Source organism: Homo sapiens, chromosome 19, assembly GCF_000001405.40.
Source record: "Homo sapiens chromosome 19, GRCh38.p14 Primary Assembly".
Lineage (NCBI taxonomy): Eukaryota > Metazoa > Chordata > Mammalia > Primates > Hominidae > Homo > Homo sapiens.
This window is the reverse complement of record NC_000019.10, coordinates 46,185,479-46,204,255: the sequence shown is the minus strand read 5'-3', so window position 1 is coordinate 46,204,255 and position 18,777 is coordinate 46,185,479. Positions and strand designations below refer to the sequence as shown.

At 49.5% G+C, this 18,777-nt stretch overlaps 1 protein-coding gene, 1 long non-coding RNA gene and 1 pseudogene across 16 annotated transcripts in view, besides 1 other annotated feature; 1 reads left to right on the top strand and 2 right to left on the bottom strand.

Annotated features, from left to right (window-relative positions):
- IGFL2 (IGF like family member 2) overlaps nucleotides 1–18,777 on the bottom strand; it is a 136,850-nt gene that overhangs the window by 11,107 nt on the left and 106,966 nt on the right. For 5 of the 15 annotated variants that reach the window (XR_007066612.1, XR_007066609.1, XR_007066614.1 and 2 more), the window contains exons 3-7: nucleotides 7,995–8,147; nucleotides 7,343–7,397; nucleotides 6,971–7,231; nucleotides 600–2,788; nucleotides 42–204 (exon numbers count right to left, since the gene is read on the bottom strand). The gene's annotated coding sequence lies outside the window, so the exon portion shown is untranslated. Of the gene's footprint in view, nucleotides 1–41; nucleotides 205–599; nucleotides 2,792–6,003; nucleotides 6,122–6,608; nucleotides 6,867–6,970; nucleotides 7,232–7,342; nucleotides 7,398–7,431; nucleotides 7,518–7,994; nucleotides 8,148–9,097; nucleotides 9,198–18,777 lie in introns of those variants that run through there. The other 10 variants (XR_007066613.1, XR_002958269.2, XR_007066616.1 and 7 more) reach the window with 8 other exon arrangements.
- Nucleotides 1,194–15,227, top strand: IGFL2-AS1 (IGFL2 antisense RNA 1). The gene is made up of 3 exons (NR_135234.1): nucleotides 1,194–1,416; nucleotides 5,814–5,848; nucleotides 13,842–15,227. It is a non-coding gene; the product is annotated as an IGFL2 antisense RNA 1 (long non-coding RNA).
- On the bottom strand, nucleotides 6,976–7,235 carry IGFL1P1 (IGF like family member 1 pseudogene 1; annotated as a pseudogene).
- Nucleotides 13,930–14,224: an enhancer, noted in NCBI's record as "tiled region #10795; HepG2 Activating DNase matched - State 8:EnhW". NCBI's record gives its function as "activates a minimal TATA promoter and a strong SV40 promoter by Sharpr-MPRA in HepG2 cells {active_cell/tissue: HepG2}" and the evidence as "EXISTENCE:reporter gene assay evidence [ECO:0000049][PMID:27701403]".

Here is an 18,777-nt window from a genome sequence, read left to right as displayed (position 1 = left end):
CAGGGAAGACTTTCCCACAACCCCAGCTGCTGGTGGGAGACCTGAGCTTCTGGAACGTGGCACACAGGAGAGCACTGGCTGTCCTCCTTTCATGGGCTTCCCCTCTGGAACAAGCACGGAAAGGGCTGAATCATCATTCTGGTGGCATCCGGGTATGATTTCCACCTGGCCTCAGGGAGCCTCTCCCAGGTGACAGACAGGAATCTGGTGAAATTTCAGATGTTCAAAAATAATGTTAGGGCTGGGATCGGAGACTCATGCCTGTAATCCTAGCACTTTGGGAGGCCGAGACGGGTGGATCACCTGAGGTCAGGAGTTTGAGACCAGCCTGACCAACAAAGTGAAACCCTGTCTCTACTAAAAATACAAAAATTAGCTGGGTGTGGTGGCATGCACCTGTAATCCCAGCTACTCGGGAGGCTGAGATAGCAGAATTGCTTGAACCTGGAAGGCAGAGGTTACAGTGAGTCGAGATTGCACCACTGCACTCCAGCCTGGGCAACAGAGTGAGACTCTCTCAAACAAAAACAAAAACAAAAACAAAAAAACCCAGAATGCTAGGAATGCAGATGTCACTGAGGGAGAGGACTGGGCCTCACCAGTGCCTGAGGGCCCATCCTCTGATATCTGCCTGGGTGGCTGGAGTGCTCTGTGTTCCATCTGCACACTTCAAGCTTGCAAGCTGGTCCCTGCTACCTGCAACAAGAACTTGGGTGCCAGTCCCTGGATGGCTGAACTGGATCCCTTCCTGCTTAAATGCTCTACAGCAGCAGCAAAAACTGTAAGAAACCACTGAAATTCAAATCAGGAGAACAAAGCAGCTCTAGTGCAGCTGGCCAACTGTACCGGGGTGTTGGCCAACTCTCTGGTGTCAGGCCTCTGAGCCCAAGCTAAGCCATCATAACCCCTGTGACCTGCACGTATACATCTAGAGGGCCTGGAGCAACTGAAGAACCACAAAAGATGACATTCCATCATTGTGATTTGCTCCTGCCCCACCCCAACTAATCCATCAACCTTGTGACATTCCTCCCCTAGACAATGAGTCTCATGATCTCCCCACCCTGCACCTTGTGATCCCCATCCCTGCCCACAAGAGATAACCACCTTTAACTGTAATTTTCCACTACCTACCCAAATCCTATAAAACTGCTGTACCCCTATCTCCCTTTGCTGACTCTCTTTTCAGATTCAGCCCAGTTGCACCCAAGTAAAATAAACAGTCTTGTTGCTCACACAAAGCCTGTTGGTGGACTCTCTTCATATGGACTCATGTGACATTTGGTGCCGAAGACCTGAGACAGGAGGACTCCTTTGGGAGACCGGTCCCCTGTCCTCGCCCTCTCTCCATGAGATCCACCCATGACCTCGGGTCCTCAGCCCAGCCGAAGGAACTTCTCACCAATTTTAAATCGGGTAAGTAGCCTCTTTTCATTCTCTTCTCCAACCTCTCTTGCTAGATATCCCTCCACTCTTTAATCTCTCCCTCCCTTAATTTTGGTTCCTTTCCGTTTCTGGTAGAGACAGAGGAGACACGTTTTGTCCATGAACTCAAAATTCTGCTGCTGGTCACAGACTCGGGAAGACAGTCTTCCCTTGGTGTCTAATCACTGTGGGGATGCATGTCTGATTATTCACCCACATTCCAGAGGTGTCTGACCACTGCAGGGACGCCTGCCTTGATCCTTCACCTTGGTGGCAAGTACCACCTCCCCTGGATGGCAAGTACCAACCCCCCTCTCCATGTCTCTACCCTCTCTTTTCTCTAAACTTACCTTTTTACTATGGGCAACCTTCCACCCTCCATTCCTCCTTCTTCTCCCTTAGCCTGTGTTCTAAAAAACTTAAAACCTCTTCAACTCTCACCTGACCCAAAACCTAAGCATCTTATTTTCTTCTGCAACAGCATTTGACCCCAATACAAACTTAACAATTGTTCTAAATGGCCAGAAAATGGCACTTTCGATTTCCCCATCCTACAAGATCTAGATAATTTTGTCAAAAAATGGGCAAATGGTCTGAGGTGCCTGATGTCCAGGCATCCTTTTACACATCAGTTCCTCCCTAGTCTCTGCTCCCAATGTGACTCATTCCAGATCTTTCTTCTTTCTCTCCTGTCTGTTCCTTCAGTCTCCACCCCAAGCTCTGAGTCCTTTAAATCTTCTTTTTCTGTGAACTCATCCGACCTCTCCCCTCCTCCCCACACTGCTCCTCACCAGGCCAAGCGAGGTCCCAGTTCTTCCTCAGCTTCCACTCTCCCACCCTATAATCCTTCTATCGCCTCCCCCACTCACAACCGGTCCAGCTTACAGTTTTGTTCCGTGACTAGCCCTCCCCAACCTGCCCAACAATTTCCTCTTAGAGAGGTGGCTGGAGCTGAAGGCAGAGTCAAGGTTAATGATCCTTTACATCTTAACAAAATTATCCACTACCCTGACTATTCCTGGACTACAGCCACATCTCAGTGCCGCCCTTCTCCCCAACCTAAAGCCTCCTTCACGTCTTCCTCTTGTATCCCCCAACCTTAACCCACAAGTATGGGACACTTTTACTCCCTCCCTGGCAACCAATCACACGCCCGTTACTATCCCATTAAAACCTAATCATCCTTACCCCGACGTGCTGCAGAGGACACAGCAGAGACATAATAGCGGGCCATGTGCCATCACTGGGAACACAGATTGTCCTCAGGCCTTGATGACTCAGAGAGTCAGGGCTGGGTTGGGGACGCGTAAAGGCTTGGGAGCCCACAGTGGTTGCCTCACCCAGCCTGGAAGGCCAGCGATGTCTTCTAGGAGAAGAAGACATTTGAGCTACTATTTCAAGAATGAATGAGAACTGTGCCTGTTTCGACAAAGCTGAACCCAGAGGCCAGAATGCAAGGCAGGAAGAGGAGACTGGAGTGGGCAGCAAGGCTGGGGCATTTTTATGGGCCCTTGGAGAACTCCAGTCTATCCTGAGGGCACTGACCATGGCCCAGGCCTAAGCAGGGGATGGAAGTGACCAGATTTATGGTTGTAGAACATCCCTGTATCTCTCTTGTGAGGAGGGTGGAGAGGAGGGTTGAGTCTGGAGCTGGGTAATGGTGCAATCACGAGGGGCCTGCAGTCTTCCTCCTCCCTTGTGGAGAGGGGACAGCGTGTTCTCCTTCTCCATTGCTCTCTGCTCCCCTGGCTTCTCCATTTGCAGTTCAGGAAAGAGTAGTGTCCTCCATACTAAGGGTGGCAACATTTTATTGGGTGGTATAACTGCTTGAGTATGTCATAGATATTATTTTTTTAATTCAAGAAACAGACACAAAAATGGGTTAGTGTACACTGCACAGATTTTTATGAACTGCCTTATAGTGAAATCTTCCTTCATGACTGTGGTAAGTCACATATTGAGGGAGAATTTATATTTTTTCCAGCGAAGCAAAACCAACAAGAATGAAGTGGTCAGGTATGGTGGCTCCTGCCTGTAATCTCAGCACTTAGGGAGGCTGATGAGGAAGAATTGCTTGAGGCCAGGAGTTCAAGACCAACCTGGGCAACATGGCAAAATCCAGTCTTTACAAAAGTTTTTTTTTTTTTAAAAGCTGGGCATGGTGGCACACACCTGTGGTCTCAGCTATTTGGGAGGCTGTAGCAGGAGGAACGCTTGAGCTCAAGAGTTCCAGGTTGAAATTAGTCATGATAAGACCACTGCACTCCAGCCTGGGCAACAGAGTGAGACCCTGAACGAAAGAAAGAAAAGAAAAGAAAAGAGAAAAGAAAAGAAAAGAAAAGAAAAGAAAAGAAAAGGGCCAGGTGTGGTGGCTCACACCTGTAATCCCAGCACTTTGACAGGCCAACTCAGGTGGGTCACCTAAGCTCAGGAGTTCAAGACCAGCCTGGGTAACATGACAAAACCCCATATCTACAAAAAATACAGAAATTAGAATTAGCCGGGCATAATGTCATGGGCCTGTAGACCCAGCTACTCAGGGGCTGAGGCAGGAGAATTTCCTGAGCCTGAGAAGTGGAAGTTTCAGTGAGCTGAGATCACACCACTGCACTGCAGCCTGGGTGACAGAACGAGATCTTGTCTCAAAAAATAAAATAAAATAAAAATTAAAAAAAATTAGGGCAGGTGCGGTGGCTCACACCTGTAATCCCAGCACTTTGGGAGGCCGAGGTGGACAGATCACAAGGTCAGGATGGTGAAACCCCATCTCTACTAAAAATACAAAAATTAGCCAGGCGTGGTGGCGTGTGCTTGTAATCCCAGCTACTCGGGAGGCTGAGGCAGGAGAATCGCTTGAACCAGGGAGTCAGAGGTTGCAGTGAGCCGAGATCGTGCCACTGCACTCCAGCCTGGCTACAGAGCGAGACTCCGTCTCAATTAAAAAAAAAATTTAAAAAGGAATGAAGAAGGGTGCAGGCATGGCCTGGCTTCCTTCTTGCCTAAGTGCTGCTGACTTAGATGTCCCAACACATCTCCCAATAACGGGCTTCATCTCTCAAACCATGGTTCCAGGCATTTCCTGGGATGGCTCGAGGCAGGTAGAGGCCTAGACGCTGGTGGGAGAAAGCAGGTTTCTTGGGTCAGGATTAGGATTGTGTCCCGAGGAGAGAGGAGTCTAGCTGACCCTCCTTGGCCTGAGCCTGATCTCTCAGGGTGGCTGAGTCAGGCCTGGGGTGAGACAGTGGAGGGAGATCATGACAGCGCAGGGGGCTCTCAGAGGCTGGGAAGCGGGGAGGGTGGCCAGGGCTAGTCCAGTGCTCCTGTCTCTGCCCCTTCTCCAGGTGTCAAAAAAGCCTTTGCACACAGAGCTGTCCAATGCCTCCGCCAGCCCCGTGGAGTCCCCAACCCTATCCAATCCATTGTCTGGGGACAGGTCTGTCTTCGGCACTGGAGCCCAGCTCTGCCTTGGTGGAACTGATCCTCAGGGGTTGGAACTCTACCTCTACCCACGGTGAAAGGAGGTTGTTTTTCTGACAAGTAAGGGCAAGATCCTGACCTCAGACAGACATTTGTTTAATTCTCCCATCTCACTTTCTAATCCAAGCAAGACACGGTCCGAGGACCCACTGCTGGTCACAGACACAGGCTGGACCAGAGCCCAGGTCTCCTGAACTCCAGTCCACAGGCCTCCAACTGCTGCCCTACCCTGCCTCTGCTGGCCCAGCCCCTCTGGGAAGGGGAGGCAGGCCTTGGTCACAGATATCCCTGGATGAGACCCAAATCTGACATTCCCAGGGTTCCTCGGTGGGGCTGGCAGAGCTGGGCTCCTGGAATGTGAAACCGTGGGGGCCTTGACATTTCCCACTCTCAAAGGCTCTCTCTTCACTTGCTCTTTTGTCCAGGAATAAATAGAATGACTCTTCCACCTGGCATCTTTGTGGTGTTAGTTCCATCTGGCCTCAAGGAGCCCCTCCCAGGGGATAGGCAGGGATGGGGTGGCATTGCATGTGTGTACAGGAGGGACGGAAGCTCTCCAGCCTAAACACCTCTCTTTGCTGGCTGATGAGGAAGCTGTGTCACTCATTTTCTCCGAGCATAGTTATCAGAATTGAAGGGGCTGATCTCTCTCTCCTTGCAAAGGGGCTTTGGTGACCAAAGACTGGATGGTGTCAACCTGGTGATCAAAATGGTCAGAATCTAATTTAAAGAGAGTTTATTCCAGCACGAATGTTGAGGATAGCCCACCCAGAAACACCAACTCCAAAAATTGGAGCCAGCACCCAGAAACTTATGGTTTCATTTCTATATATGAAACTGCCTTGTAGTGAAACCTTCGTTCATGACTCTGGTAAGCCACATACCGAGGCAGAATTTATTTTTTTTTCCAGGGACGCAAAGCCAACAAGAATGAAGAAGTGGCCAGGTATGGTGGCTCATGCCTGTAATCCCAGCACTTAGGGAGGCCGAGGAGGAAGAATTGCTTGAGGCCAGGAATCCCAGACCAGCCTGGACAACATGGCAAAATCCAGTCTTTACAAAAAAAAAATTTTTTTAATTGCTGGGCATGGTGGCACACACCTGTGGTCCCAACTACTTGGGAGGCTGTGGCAGGAGGATTGCTTGAGCTCAAGAGTTCCAGGCTGCAATTAGCTATGATCAGACCACTGCACTCCAGCCTGGGCAACAGAGTGAGACCCTGAAAAACAAAAAAGAAGGGAGGAAGGGGGGAAAGAAAGGAAAAAGAAAGGAAGGAAGGAAGGAAGGAAGGAAAGGAAGGAAGGAAGGCAGGAAGGAAGGAAGGAAGGGAGGGAGGGAGGGAGGGAGGGAGGGGGAGGGGAGGGGCCAGGTGTGGTTGCTCACACTTGTATCCCAGCACTTTGGGAGGCCAATGCAGGCAGGTCACTTAAGCTCAGGAGTTCAAGACAAGCCTGGGCAACATGACAAAACCCCATCTGTGATGGGAGGAGGGCAGCCAGGGCCAGTCCAGGGCTCCTGTCCTGGCCAGGCACAGTGACTCACACCTTTAATCCCAGGACTTTGGGAGGATGAGGAGGGAGGATCGTTTGAACCCAAGAGTTTAAGACCAGCCTGAACAACATGCTGAAACCCCGTCTGTCCAAAAAATACAAAAATTAGCTGGGCACAGTGGTGCACACCTGTGGTCCCAGCTACTCTAAAGGCTGAGGTGTGAGGATCGCTTGAGTCTGGGAGGTTGAGGCTGCAGTGAGCTGTGATTGAGCCACTGCCCTCCAGTCTGAGCTGACACTGAAGACAGAGACACTGAGCAGGCCAGAGATGGGGGAGAGACTGAACAGTGCAGAAAGGAGGACAGGAGAGCCAGGAGGAGAGGCCAGCAATGTTGAGAGAGTGAGGTTGTGAGAGGAAAATAAAAACGAAGGGAGGAAGAAATACAACTGTAGGGAAAGGGGGAGGTGGATTGACTAGAGGCAGGAGGACAGACACAGAGAATGGGGGCTCTACTCAGGGCAGAACAGGCATGCAGCCCCCCAGGACCCACAATCTCATGGAGGAGACAGGACCTCACCTGTGACAAAGCCTGTTATCTGAGGTCAGGGTCAAGGAGCACTTCTGGCCTTTCATCTTCACCATGAGGGACGCTGGGGGACTGAGGGACCAGGGGCAGCACTTCTCGAAGCAGACTCTGAAGGTGCAGTTCCACCCCTCTGGGTCCCATCCGAGGGCAGGATGGCATTGTCATAGTAGCAGTGCTGCAGAGGGTCACAGAACGTGTCCCCACATCTTGCCTGTGGCTGGCACAGCATCAGATAAGCACCCATGGGGGCCACTGGAGGAGACAGAGCTGGTGAGGTCCAGGTGGAAGGGCAGGTGGGTCCCAGCCTGGGATCTCCTGGGAGCCACACCCCTCCCCCAGATTCCCAGCCCTTCCTGGGCTCACCTGGGGGCTCCACATGATCAGAGAAGGCTGAGGATGCAGAGAGACGCCAAGACAGCTGTGGGAGAAGGAAGAAGAGGAGGGCTCTGGAGGAGGCCACGAGCCATCTTTGGGACCCCAGCCTGCGGCAGCACTGGGTCCAAGGGGGTCTCTGTCCTGACTGGAGCTCGAGGAAGGGCTAGAAGGTGATCTGAGGTCAGGCACAGTCTCCCTGTGCTCAAGGGTCCTGGGCAAGGCCAGGGAGTGCAGGCAGGACTCTCAGAAGAAATGGGCCTAGGGTTCAGGGCAATGTGGTTGTTTCCTGGTGTTGGAGGAGTTCAGAGCTGGAGGCTCAGCTGGGGTCGGGCAGGGAAGGGGCTGAGCCGAGACTAGCGTTGTGCTATGGGTGTGGCTGGCACTGACATTTAGAAAAAGACTGGGTGGGACTGGAACCAGGGCTAGGCATAAGTTTGGGGAGTAGTTTGGGGACTGAAACAGCTGTGGATGGGGCTGACCCAGGGGCTGTGGATGGGGAATTGCTGTGATGGAGCCATGTCTGAGGAGGAGGCCAGGCATGGGGACAGGGATGAGGTGTAGTTTGGGGTGGGGAGTGAGCCTCGGTGGTGGCTGAGATGGGAGATGGGCTCGGGTGGGAATGGGGTCCTGTCCTCCTTACCCAAGATGTGGCCTCGGGAGCCATGGCTCTGGGGTGGCTGGAGGGGAGTGAGTGGGTGATCAGCAGGTCTCAGCAGCTCCTTGGCTCCTATACTCCTAGAGGAGCTGGTGATATCGTGGGATGCCCTGCCTTCCTGCAGAGACATGCTGGGCCCTGGAGCGAGACAGGTCCCAGACAGGGTATGTGTCATGGTGGATTTGATGCCAGGTCCTTTGAGAGCCAGGAGAGGACCGATGCTCCCTCCACCCTCGGTCCCTCTCTCCTCCAGAATGGAGGCTTCTTTGGCAAATAGGAAATTGCAGGACACTCCTGGGGTCGTCCTCACCCTCCCACACTCACACAGCCACAATGTTACAGCTGACCCTGTGAGTCTAGAGTCGAGACACGGACTGAGGGTTGCTCCATGACCTGGTCCCCTTCTAGATGTGAATCAGTGCAAGGGCCCAGGACAGCGGAAGAGGTGTGAAGCCATCCTGTGATCGGGAAGCCACAGGGTGTCCAGACCCAGCGGGAGCCGAGGATTCAGGAGAATCTCCCCAGTCAGCTCCAGAGGTGCCCACAGTGTGAGCTCTAGTGTCTCCCAGGTAGGGGCCAAAGCGTCACCTGCCCGGCCCTGGGGGTGCAAGTGGAGTGGATTTTACTCCTGTCCAGAAAATGGAGTGAGACCCTGTCTCTAAATAAATACATACATTTAGACTCCTCTGTCTTTGCGTGTATATAAGCAAAGACAGAGGTGTTTTTATCAGGATTACAACATTTTTCATAAAAGGTTGGCACATCATTACAGCAAGTTGCTTATAGGCAATGTTTCTCTATGAGAAGGGCACATTTAACATTTTTTACAAAGGGTGTAATAGTCATGGTTTTTCTGTTATCTGATCTAAGCAAGGCAGGACAACAAAGGGGAACTTAATTGATAACAAGGGTCATTAATTAACAGGGCACCACTGGGTGGACACAGTGGCATCTGTAATTCCAACACTTGGGGAGGCCGAGGTGAGAGGATCGCTTGAGGTCAAGAGTTTGAGACCAGCCTGGGTAACATGGCAAAACTCTGTCTCTACCAAAAAATACAAAAATTAACTTGGCATGGTGGCACATACCTGCAGTCCCAGCTACTTGGGAGGGTGAGGTGGGAGGATAACTTGAACCCGGGAGGTGGAGGTTGTAGTCAGCTGAGATCATGCCACTGCACTCCAGCCTCTGGAACAGAGAGAGACTCAGTATCAAAAAAAAAAAAAAGTCTTGGTCAGATGCAGTGGCTCATCCCTGTAATCCCAACCCCTTTGGAGGCCAAAGCAGGAGGATCACTTGAGGCCAGGAGTTGGAAACCAGCTTGGCCAAAATAGCAAGACCCTGTCTCAAAACAAAAAACACTACCAAAAAAAAAAAAAAAAAAAAAAAAAAAATATATATATATATATATATATAAAATGAGGAAGCCTGGGTCTTGTTCTGTCACCCAGGCTGGAGTGCAGTGGCACAATCTCAGCTCACTGCAATCTCTGCTTCCCGGGGTTCAAGTGATTCTCCTGCCTCAGCCTTCCTAGTAGCTGGGATTGCAGGTGCCCGTGACCACGTCTGGCTGATTTTTGCATTTTTAGTAGAGATGGGGCTTCACCATATTGTCCAGGCTGGTCTTGAATTCCTGATCTCAAGTGACCCACCTCCCCCGGCCTCCCAAAGTGCTGGGATTACAGGCGTGAGCCACCGTGTCCGGCCCTTGATTGGTTTTTGCTTGCATTGTCCCTGGTGAAGCCATTGAAAAGCTTTACTGCTTTCTGCAGCAGAATGGGATCAGACCCAATGAGTGATGAAAGTTAAAATAAACAAAGTCAGAAGACTCTAAACCCAAGCGCTTGTGCCAGAGGCAGCCTCTGGGTGCCTGGCTGATACCACAGGAGGTTTCTAACAAAGAGATTGACAGCCTTTCCACATCTGATATCTGGTACCAGGCAGAGAGAGGCCCTTGCAGACCGTGGAGTCAACGCCTCACTGGGTATTTTGGATATTAAAGACAACATAGACTCCATCTGGGCATTCTGGTGGTCCCCCTGCACCAGATAACCAGAGACATAGCTGCTTTCCAGGGACCCCCAGTGGGGGTCCAGGGAGTACAATGCACTCCAGGCCCTACCTCAGGCAGTTACTCAGGCCCCTGTGTCCCGTAGAGCCCAGCTCCCCATTTGAATGACAAGTTTCAGTGCTAGGAGATGAGGAAGACTGGAATCTGACCAAAAGGAAAAGCCATCAGAGTCTGATGACCGCAAAGTTTCTGGACTTCTAGGCTCCCAGAAATGGCCACTCATCATGCACCTTTTCTGAAGGAGCTATTAACATGTTGTTGGGCTCTGGTGGAAACAGAGAGGCTGAGCCAACACACTGTGGTAATACTCTGACCAGAAATACCCATCTCTTCCTGAACTGATAGCAGCCTAGACCCGAGAGCGGTGTCTGCTGGACAGAGCAGCATCATTACATCGAAGGGAGACATCCAAGATAGAATAAAATAGAACAGTTACAATATATTGTAACAGTTACCACATAGTGCAGCTGTAAGTTTTGCAGTTTGAGGTAGGACACAAAGCTAGTGCAAATTTCTGTTTCTTCCTGCTCAATTTCAGGTACAGCAGATTCATTCTTACCATAGATCTTAGCAACCTCAGCCCATTTTTTTTTCTTTCCTTATTAAGTGGAGAATTTTCATCTTTTTACTGAAAGGAAGCACTTTACAGTTTCTGTTTGGCATATCTGAATTGCCAGCATCACTACTCTTGCAGTTTGGGGCCATTACAAAGTAAAATAAAGGTTTTATTTTACGATAAAGAAAGCCCTCTTGAGAAACTTTCACAAACACTGCAATAGCATGACAGTTGATCTGATAACTGAGACAGCTACTGGAGACTACTGAGCCGGTAGCATCTACAGTGTCAATATGCTGCACGAAGGATGACTCACCAGCGGGGCAGGACAGAGCGGGACGACACGGCATTTCACAATCAGTGTGACACGCAACTTTAAAATTTATGAACTGTTTTTTCTTTGTTTTGTGTTTTGTTTTTGTTCTTTTGAGACAGAGTCTTGCTCTGTCCCCCAGGCTGGAGTGCAGTGACACGATCTTGGCTCACTGCAACTTCCACCTCTCGGGTTCAAGTGATTCTCCTGCCTCAGCCTCCCAAGTAGCTGGGATCACAGACACATGCCACAGCACCCGGCTAATTTTTGTAATTTTTTAGTAGAGATAGGATTTCACCATGTTTTCCAGGCTGGTCTCGAACTCCTGACCTCAAGTGATCCACCCACCTTGGCCTCCCAAAGTACTGGGATTACAGGCATGAGCCACCATGCCTGGCCTCTGATATTTTCATTTAATATTTTCAGATCACAGTTGATCATGGGTAACTGAAACCTACGCCAAAGTGAAAGTGGAGATAAGAGGGAATTACTATACCACAATAATACTCAGCCACTAGAAAGGCTGGGATGACTCCATGCTTTGTTCTTCAAAAATACTTCAAATAATTCTATTTAAAAAGCAAAAGAGACCGGGTGCAGTGGCTCACACCTGTAATCCCAGAACTTTGGGAGGCCGAGGTGGGTGGATCACAAGATCAGGAGTTCGAGACTAGCCTGGTCAACATGGTGAAACCCCTGTCTCTACTAAAAATACAAAAGTTAGCCCGGCATGGTGGTGGGCACCTGTAGTCCCAGCTACTTGGGAGGCTGAGGCAGGAGAATTGCTTGAACCCAGGAGGTGGAGGTTGCAGTGAGCTGAGATCATGCCACTGCACTCCAGCCTGGGTGACAGAGCGAGACTCCATTTCAAAAAAAAAAAAAAGCAAAAGAATGAGGCATTTATGTAAAGTTATAACAAACAAAATATTTTCAGAAAAGCAATTCCACAATGTTTAATGTAATTTGAGCATCGAGCATTCTTCATAACTCTTTACAATTATTGATTCATCTTGTCTGGGTTTCATCATCATTTTACAAATGAGGAAACTGAAACACAGAGTGGCTTCATAACTCACCCACAGTCACAGTCAGTGGGGCAAGGTCAGGGTTTGACCTGGGAGCGCTAGCCACAGGGCACCTGCACCCCAGCCCCTGCTGCCCACTGTTGTGTCCCTGTGGGTGTGCTCTTCTAGGCACGTTTGGAACCCTGAGTTCTCACCAGAGAGGACAGTGAATCACTCCAAGGAGAAAGACAAGGGCTTAGAGTGGAAAAGGAGCTTTGGTTTTCACTTTATTGCTGTGCTGATGAAGTTTTAAAAGAACACCTCTCACATGTATAAAATAATGGAAAACAAGCTATGCCAAGAAGAAAAGTATGAATCAAAAATTCAATGATTACAAATAAAATAGTAAATAAGATTACAAAAGAAAATCAGATACTTTTAGTCAAACTATGTAAAAATCCCATATTTTACAAAAAGAGTAATCAAATGATGGGGGGAGAAGAGAGCTAATATTTAATGAAATTATGGTGGTCACTGTGAGACAAAGTAACAAACATGAGAAGCCGGTTTGCTCATTTCTGCTTCCCAGCATAATTTCACAAGGCCCCTGAGTCTGTGATGACCTGCGGCTCTCCAAAAACATGCTTTCTTTTGGAGAAAAAAAGGAGAGAGAAAAGGGCCCTCATGTCTCTTGCCCTCCCTGTTCCTTGCAGGTGGTGAGATTGAGAACTCAATCCAAAGTATGACATAAAGACACACCTCAGAGCTCAGAGCTTTCTTTCCCAGGATGCACCTATCCACTCTGGCAACGTTTACTTGTTCCCACCACCACCTAGTCCTGTCCACCTTCCTTCATCCTCATCCTCACTTCCTGATCTTCTCTTTAGCCCAGCTCAGGTTGAGGCCAAACTTGAATCTGACCCTCACCCCGCCCTGGGAGGGAAAATTCAGTGAGGAATAGCATTCCTTCCAGTGAGGCATACCCTGGAGTCTACATCGGCCTCCCAACCCCAAATCAGTCTCTTTTCTCCTCTCCCTCCCATTATGGCCCTGCGTCTTCCCTTTCTGGGCTGAGTTTTGTAGTATCTGTTTTCTGTGGGCTCTTGAAATTATACTAGAAGTATGATTTTTCCTTTATTAATTCTATATTTAATAACTTTTTTGTTAAATTTAGAAAGGAAGGTGAGATATCTCTAACATATCTAGAATGAAGTCTTTCTTGACATGCCTCAGAAAAACATACCTGCTTCTCCCCCACTTTGAGGTCCAGTCCATTGAGAAATGCTGGCATTGTGGGGATGGTGCATACTGAGGGGCCTGAGGGGAGATGGAGCTTGGACTGGAGGCTCAATCATTCCTGGTGTTCCTAGCACCACAGATGACTCAGCGGGACTCCCGAATAGTCAACCCTTCTTCTGAGGGCGAGGGCCAGAGTCTCAGGGATTGTCTTTTCTGAATTTTTCTTTTTGATGGTAAAAAGATCCAGGTCCGTGATTTTGCAGAATACCCTAAAGCCACATGCATTTTTGGTCTCTTCAAAGTCAACCCCCACCCCCCATGGGGGAAGGAATGATGCAAGGCTCTTTGCCCCACAGGAGAGGGTTGGGGGATTACCAGGGGGCGTGATAAATATCCTCAGCCTTGGCAAAGAGGGCTGGGAGGGTCTGTGGTAGGCTGCAGATACAGTCCTGATTATCTCTCCTTCCTCATTCACACACTTGCAAAATATGACTTTACGTCTATTAAGATTTGGTATCCATGTCCCCATTCCCTTGACTGTCTGCACCCTGTGGAATTTGTGGTCTATAGGACACTGTGGAGTGATCGATCATGTGCCAGTTTTGAGTTAAGACTTTGCTCAAGGACTCTGGTACTTCCACTTTCTCAGGAAATTAAAGCAATGTGAACACCCTCTGGCCAGCCTGTTGGAGGGTGAGAGACCACATGGAGGAGACAGAGCCCTGATGTCCCAGCTGAGGACATCCCAGAAAAGCCTATTTCCAGACAACTGAGGACAGGTGAATGAGTTCTTTGTAGATGAACCAGAATCCAGTCTATCTACCTGCTGAGCACAGACATGTGAGCAACCCCCCCATCAAGGTCAACTGAGCCTGGCCCAGATCAACAGAATCACGAGATGACCTATGGACTCAGGAGCAATCATGATGTGGTTGTTCCATGACACTGAATGTAGAGGTCGTTGATTCTGCAGCACCAGCAAACTGACACATAACACCGTGTTTAATATTGGGTTCTGGGCTTTGGGGTCCCTGCAGAGTTCCTGATTTCAGCCCCAAGGGCTCATTCACAAATTTATTACTCAGATTCTACCCTGTCAACCCAGGACGTGTTACTTACACATTTCCCAGTGTGGGCAGCAAGCCACCCAGGTGCCGAGGCAAGAGACCGAGGGCACAAGCTGTTCCAGTATAATAAAGAAAACATATAAAATAAGAATAGTTATACTAGATATAGATCGTAGATATGATTATATATGAATATTACTAATCATTAGTCTGTAGCAATTACTCTTTATTCCATTATAATAATAATCTTCTCTCTACAATTATAACTTAAGAGAAACCAGGCCATACAGAGATAGGAGCTGAACGGACACAGTGAGAAATGACCAGAAGACAAGAGTGTGAGCCTTCTATTATGCCCCGACAGGGCCACTAGAGGGCTCCTTAGTCTAGCGTTAATGCCAGTGCCCGGGAAGATGCCCGTTACCTAGCCGACTTTGGTCTAGCGGTAGCGTCAGTGCCCAGGAAAAGCACCCACTACTTAGCAGACTGGGAAAAGGAGTGTCCCTTTCCCCGGGGGAGTTAGAGAAGACTCTGCTCCACCACCTCTTGTGGAGGGCCTGACATCCGTCAGGCCTGCCCGCAGTTATCCAGAGGCCTGTCTCCCTGTGATGCTGTGCTTCAGAGCAGTCACGCTCCTGGTCCGCTTACATGTTCCATCCTGTACACCTGGCTCTGCCTTCTAGGTAGTAGCAGAATTAGTGAAAGTACTAAAAGTCTCTGAAATGCAAAAATAAAGGCATAAGCTGTCTCCTTTCTCTCCACCTCAGCTGCCAAACAGGGAAGGGCCGCCTGTCCAGTGGATACATGACCCACATGACCTTACCTATCATTGGAGATGGCTCACACTGCTCACCCTGCCCCCTTGTCTTGTATCCAATAAATAACAGCGCAGCCTGGCATTCGGGGCCACTACTGGTCACTGTGTCTTGGTGGTAGTGGTTCCCCGGGCCCAGCTGTTTTTTCTTTTATCTCTTGGTCTTGTGTCTTTATTTCTATGATCTCTCGTCTCCGCACATGGGGAGAAAAACCCACAGACCCTGTAGGGCTGGTCCCTACATCCCAGGACTCTCTATCCCACTGTGGAAGACTTCGCAGTTGCCTGCCATGCTCCCACAAAGAGCTGGCCACCTGCCCCAGGATGAATGGGGGCTCTGTCCGAGTTGCTAAAGGTGTGCCTCTGGCCATATGCTGGGAGGCAAATGAGCTGTCAGGCAAGGGTAGGAAATATGTGGGCATCAGAGGACAAACAAGGAGTGAGGTGCCTCCCACCAGCCATACATCTGAAGTGCTGTCAGATGGCCATAGGGGCCAGCTGGGTATGGGTCCCCAACAACCAGGAAGGACACTGAGCATCTGAAAACCATTGGTCATGGAACACAGAACCCACGGGGAACACTATGGGTTCACAAAGACCCAGGAGGTCTATTGTAAGCCTCAGTATAGAGAGAGGAACACACTGAGCTTCTGATCACCCATTATCAAGGCTGTGCTGCTTTATGTTGATAGTCCAAAATTATCCTGCATGGGAGTTGGTCCACACAAATTATAATCACAAAGGCAATATAGAGGAGAGTGGGGGGGGCGGTCACAGGAATGAGCGTCACGGTGGCTGGGGATGGACCTTTCACTTAGCTGATCATGTGCAAACAGCAAGATTCATGATGAACTGCTCCACCACAAAACAAATAAATGGGTGTCTACAGTACACACACTGGGCCCCCCACTAACCCTGACATGCACAAGATGCCCTGGGGTTACCTGCCTTTCTGGGGGCTGGACCAAGGACCGATCTGGAACAGGTAAAGATAGGGAGAAATAGGTATTGGGGGAGGGTGAAACTGGAACTTTTGGAGACTCTCATAAATTATTCAAGAAAGCATTAACCCCATTTATGCCTAGTGTTCCATTATTGGAATGCTAAGAATGTGGGAATTATTTATATCCTATTGCTCAAGGTCATCACCAAGGTCCGATTTTTCAAATTTAAAAACTGTAACCTCAGATACAAATGGGTTAATGCTCACCGTCTCTGATCAAGTAGCACACACCAGCAACACGATCTCAGGTATAAATGGGTTAATGCTCACCGTCTCTGATCAGGTAGCACACACCAGCAGCACAACCTCAGGTTTAAACGGGTTAATGCTCACCATCTCTGATCAGGTAGCACGTAGCACACACCAGCAGCACAACCTCAGGTTTAAACGGGTTAATGCTCACCATCTCTGATCAGGTAGCACCAGCAGCACAACCTCAGGTATAAATGGGTTAATGCTCACCGTCTCTGATCAGGTAGCACACACCAGCAGCACAACCTCAGGCTTAAACGGGTTAATGCTCACCATCTCTGATCAGGTAGCACACACCAGCAGCACAACCTCAGGTTTAAACGGGTTAATGCTCACCATCTCTGATCAGGTAGCACACACCAGCAGCACAACCTCAGGTTTAAACGGGTTAATGCTCACCATCTCTGATCAGGTAGCACACACCAGCAGCACAACCTCAGGTTTAAACGGGTTAATGCTTACCGTCTCTGATCAGGTAGCACACACCAGCAGCACAATCTCAGGTTTAAATGGGTTAATGCTCACCGTCTCTGATCAGGTAGCACACACCAGCAGCACAACCTCAGGTTTAAACGGGTTAATGCTCACCGTCTCTGATCAGGTAGCACACACCAGCAGCACAACCTCAGGTATAAATGGGTAAATGCTCACCATCTCTGATCAGGTAGCACACACCAGCAGCACAACCTCAGGTTTAAACGGGTTAATGCTCACCATCTCTGATCAGGTAGCACACACCAGCAGCACAACCTCAGGTTTAAACGGGTTAATGCTCACCATCTCTGATCAGGTAGCACATACCAGCAGCATCGACTGGGTCCAACCACCAGCAGGTCTGACATCTTTCAAGTGCTAAAGAAAAGCCAGGTCTGGTCTCCCTATAAGCAAGTGCTCATCCTTAGGAAACCCCCCTTTCTAATGTCTCCCCACTGTGAAATACTTTACACTATCTACCAGGTTCCTCCTGTTTTATAATCGTGTGATCTGAGAGCAAAGCTTAAATAAACTTAGGTTATTTTTTTCTTTCACACTGAAGAGCAGGCTCGTTAAGAGAGCAGGCATCTTGTCTTTCCTGTTAGCCAGGGACTCCCTGTGCCCCTAAACAATGCCTGACACGTAGCAGCGGACTTCAGTGTTTTTCAATTGTACACTTTAGGGAAGGGTAGAAAAGAGACGCCTAATTTGCTAATTAACACCCCATATCTGTCCCTGCAGCCATCAAATCTATGCTGTGCTGAAAAGCCTTCCTTCTTGTAATATCTTCTGGAAGGCCAGACTATCAACTGGATAGAGGTTTCCTGGGGAAGGAGGACAAGTGACTAGGAGAAACGGGATGTGATGTTCATTTTATCAGCTGGGCTTTGATAAACTTGTGGACAGTGAATCTGATAAGCAGCCTCCATGTGGGACCATATCCAGGCCATAGCACTCTTTCCCTGCAGGAACAAGGTCAAGGAATTTATTCCACAATAGCATGGGGTCAACACCGATAAGAGCCTGCCACCGCTGCCAGGGTCCTGGAACGCTTCTGTGGACACCGCAGCTGGGTAATATCCCATCCAAAATTCTCCGGAGCGCCAGAGAAAACCCTCTAAAAGTGACTGCCAGGTGGCGCCCGACAAGTGGCATGGACGGCACCAGGTCTGATCTGGGTCTTCAGGTCGGCGGGGGTGCCCTGCCTGCGGCCTGATCCACGGCCGTTTCCTGGTGCCCCTTGGACGGAGTTTCTTCACCCAGGGCTGCCGGCACGCAATCAGCCCGGCCCCAGTAGGGAGTCTTGGGGAAATTTGGGGCGAGCCTCCTGTGATCACTGGGCCCTGCCAAGCAAAGGACACACTCACCTCGAGACTTCCTGGCTGGAACAGGAGGTTCCCGAGACCTGGAGAACGATTAGGAAATTTTCCTAGAGTCTCATAAAGACTACCCAGCACCAGATGGGACGGAGGCCGGGCCGATGACGCCCACCATAGCCCTCTCAGGCCATCACTGATCTGTCCCTTCCTTCAGAGGGAGTCTTAAAAATTTCCCGGGGCTCATAGGACTGCCTGCCTGGCATGTACATGACCTTGGGAGGCCGGGGTGCGAGGTGTGTGTAGGGGACCCTCTGTCGACAACTTCAGTAAATCAAACCCATTTCATGGATAAACTTTAGTCAAGGTTATAACAACAATAAACATCAGTAATAATAACAACAATAATAATAAAACGACCTCAATGATCCAAGCTCACTGTATAGACTGGGTGTATTAACCAGGTCCGGTATTTTCAAAGCTCTAGGAATAAACAGGCTTCTCTTCAGAAGAAATTAAGGACCAGGTCTCCTCACATCCAACTTTTAGAAAGAGAGGTGCCCAGTATTGGCTCTGACCACGCTGTGTGACTGCTAGACTCCCACACCACTCTAGAGCCCCCACCTTTATCCAGTAGAGGGAAGAGCCCAGGTTCCTTG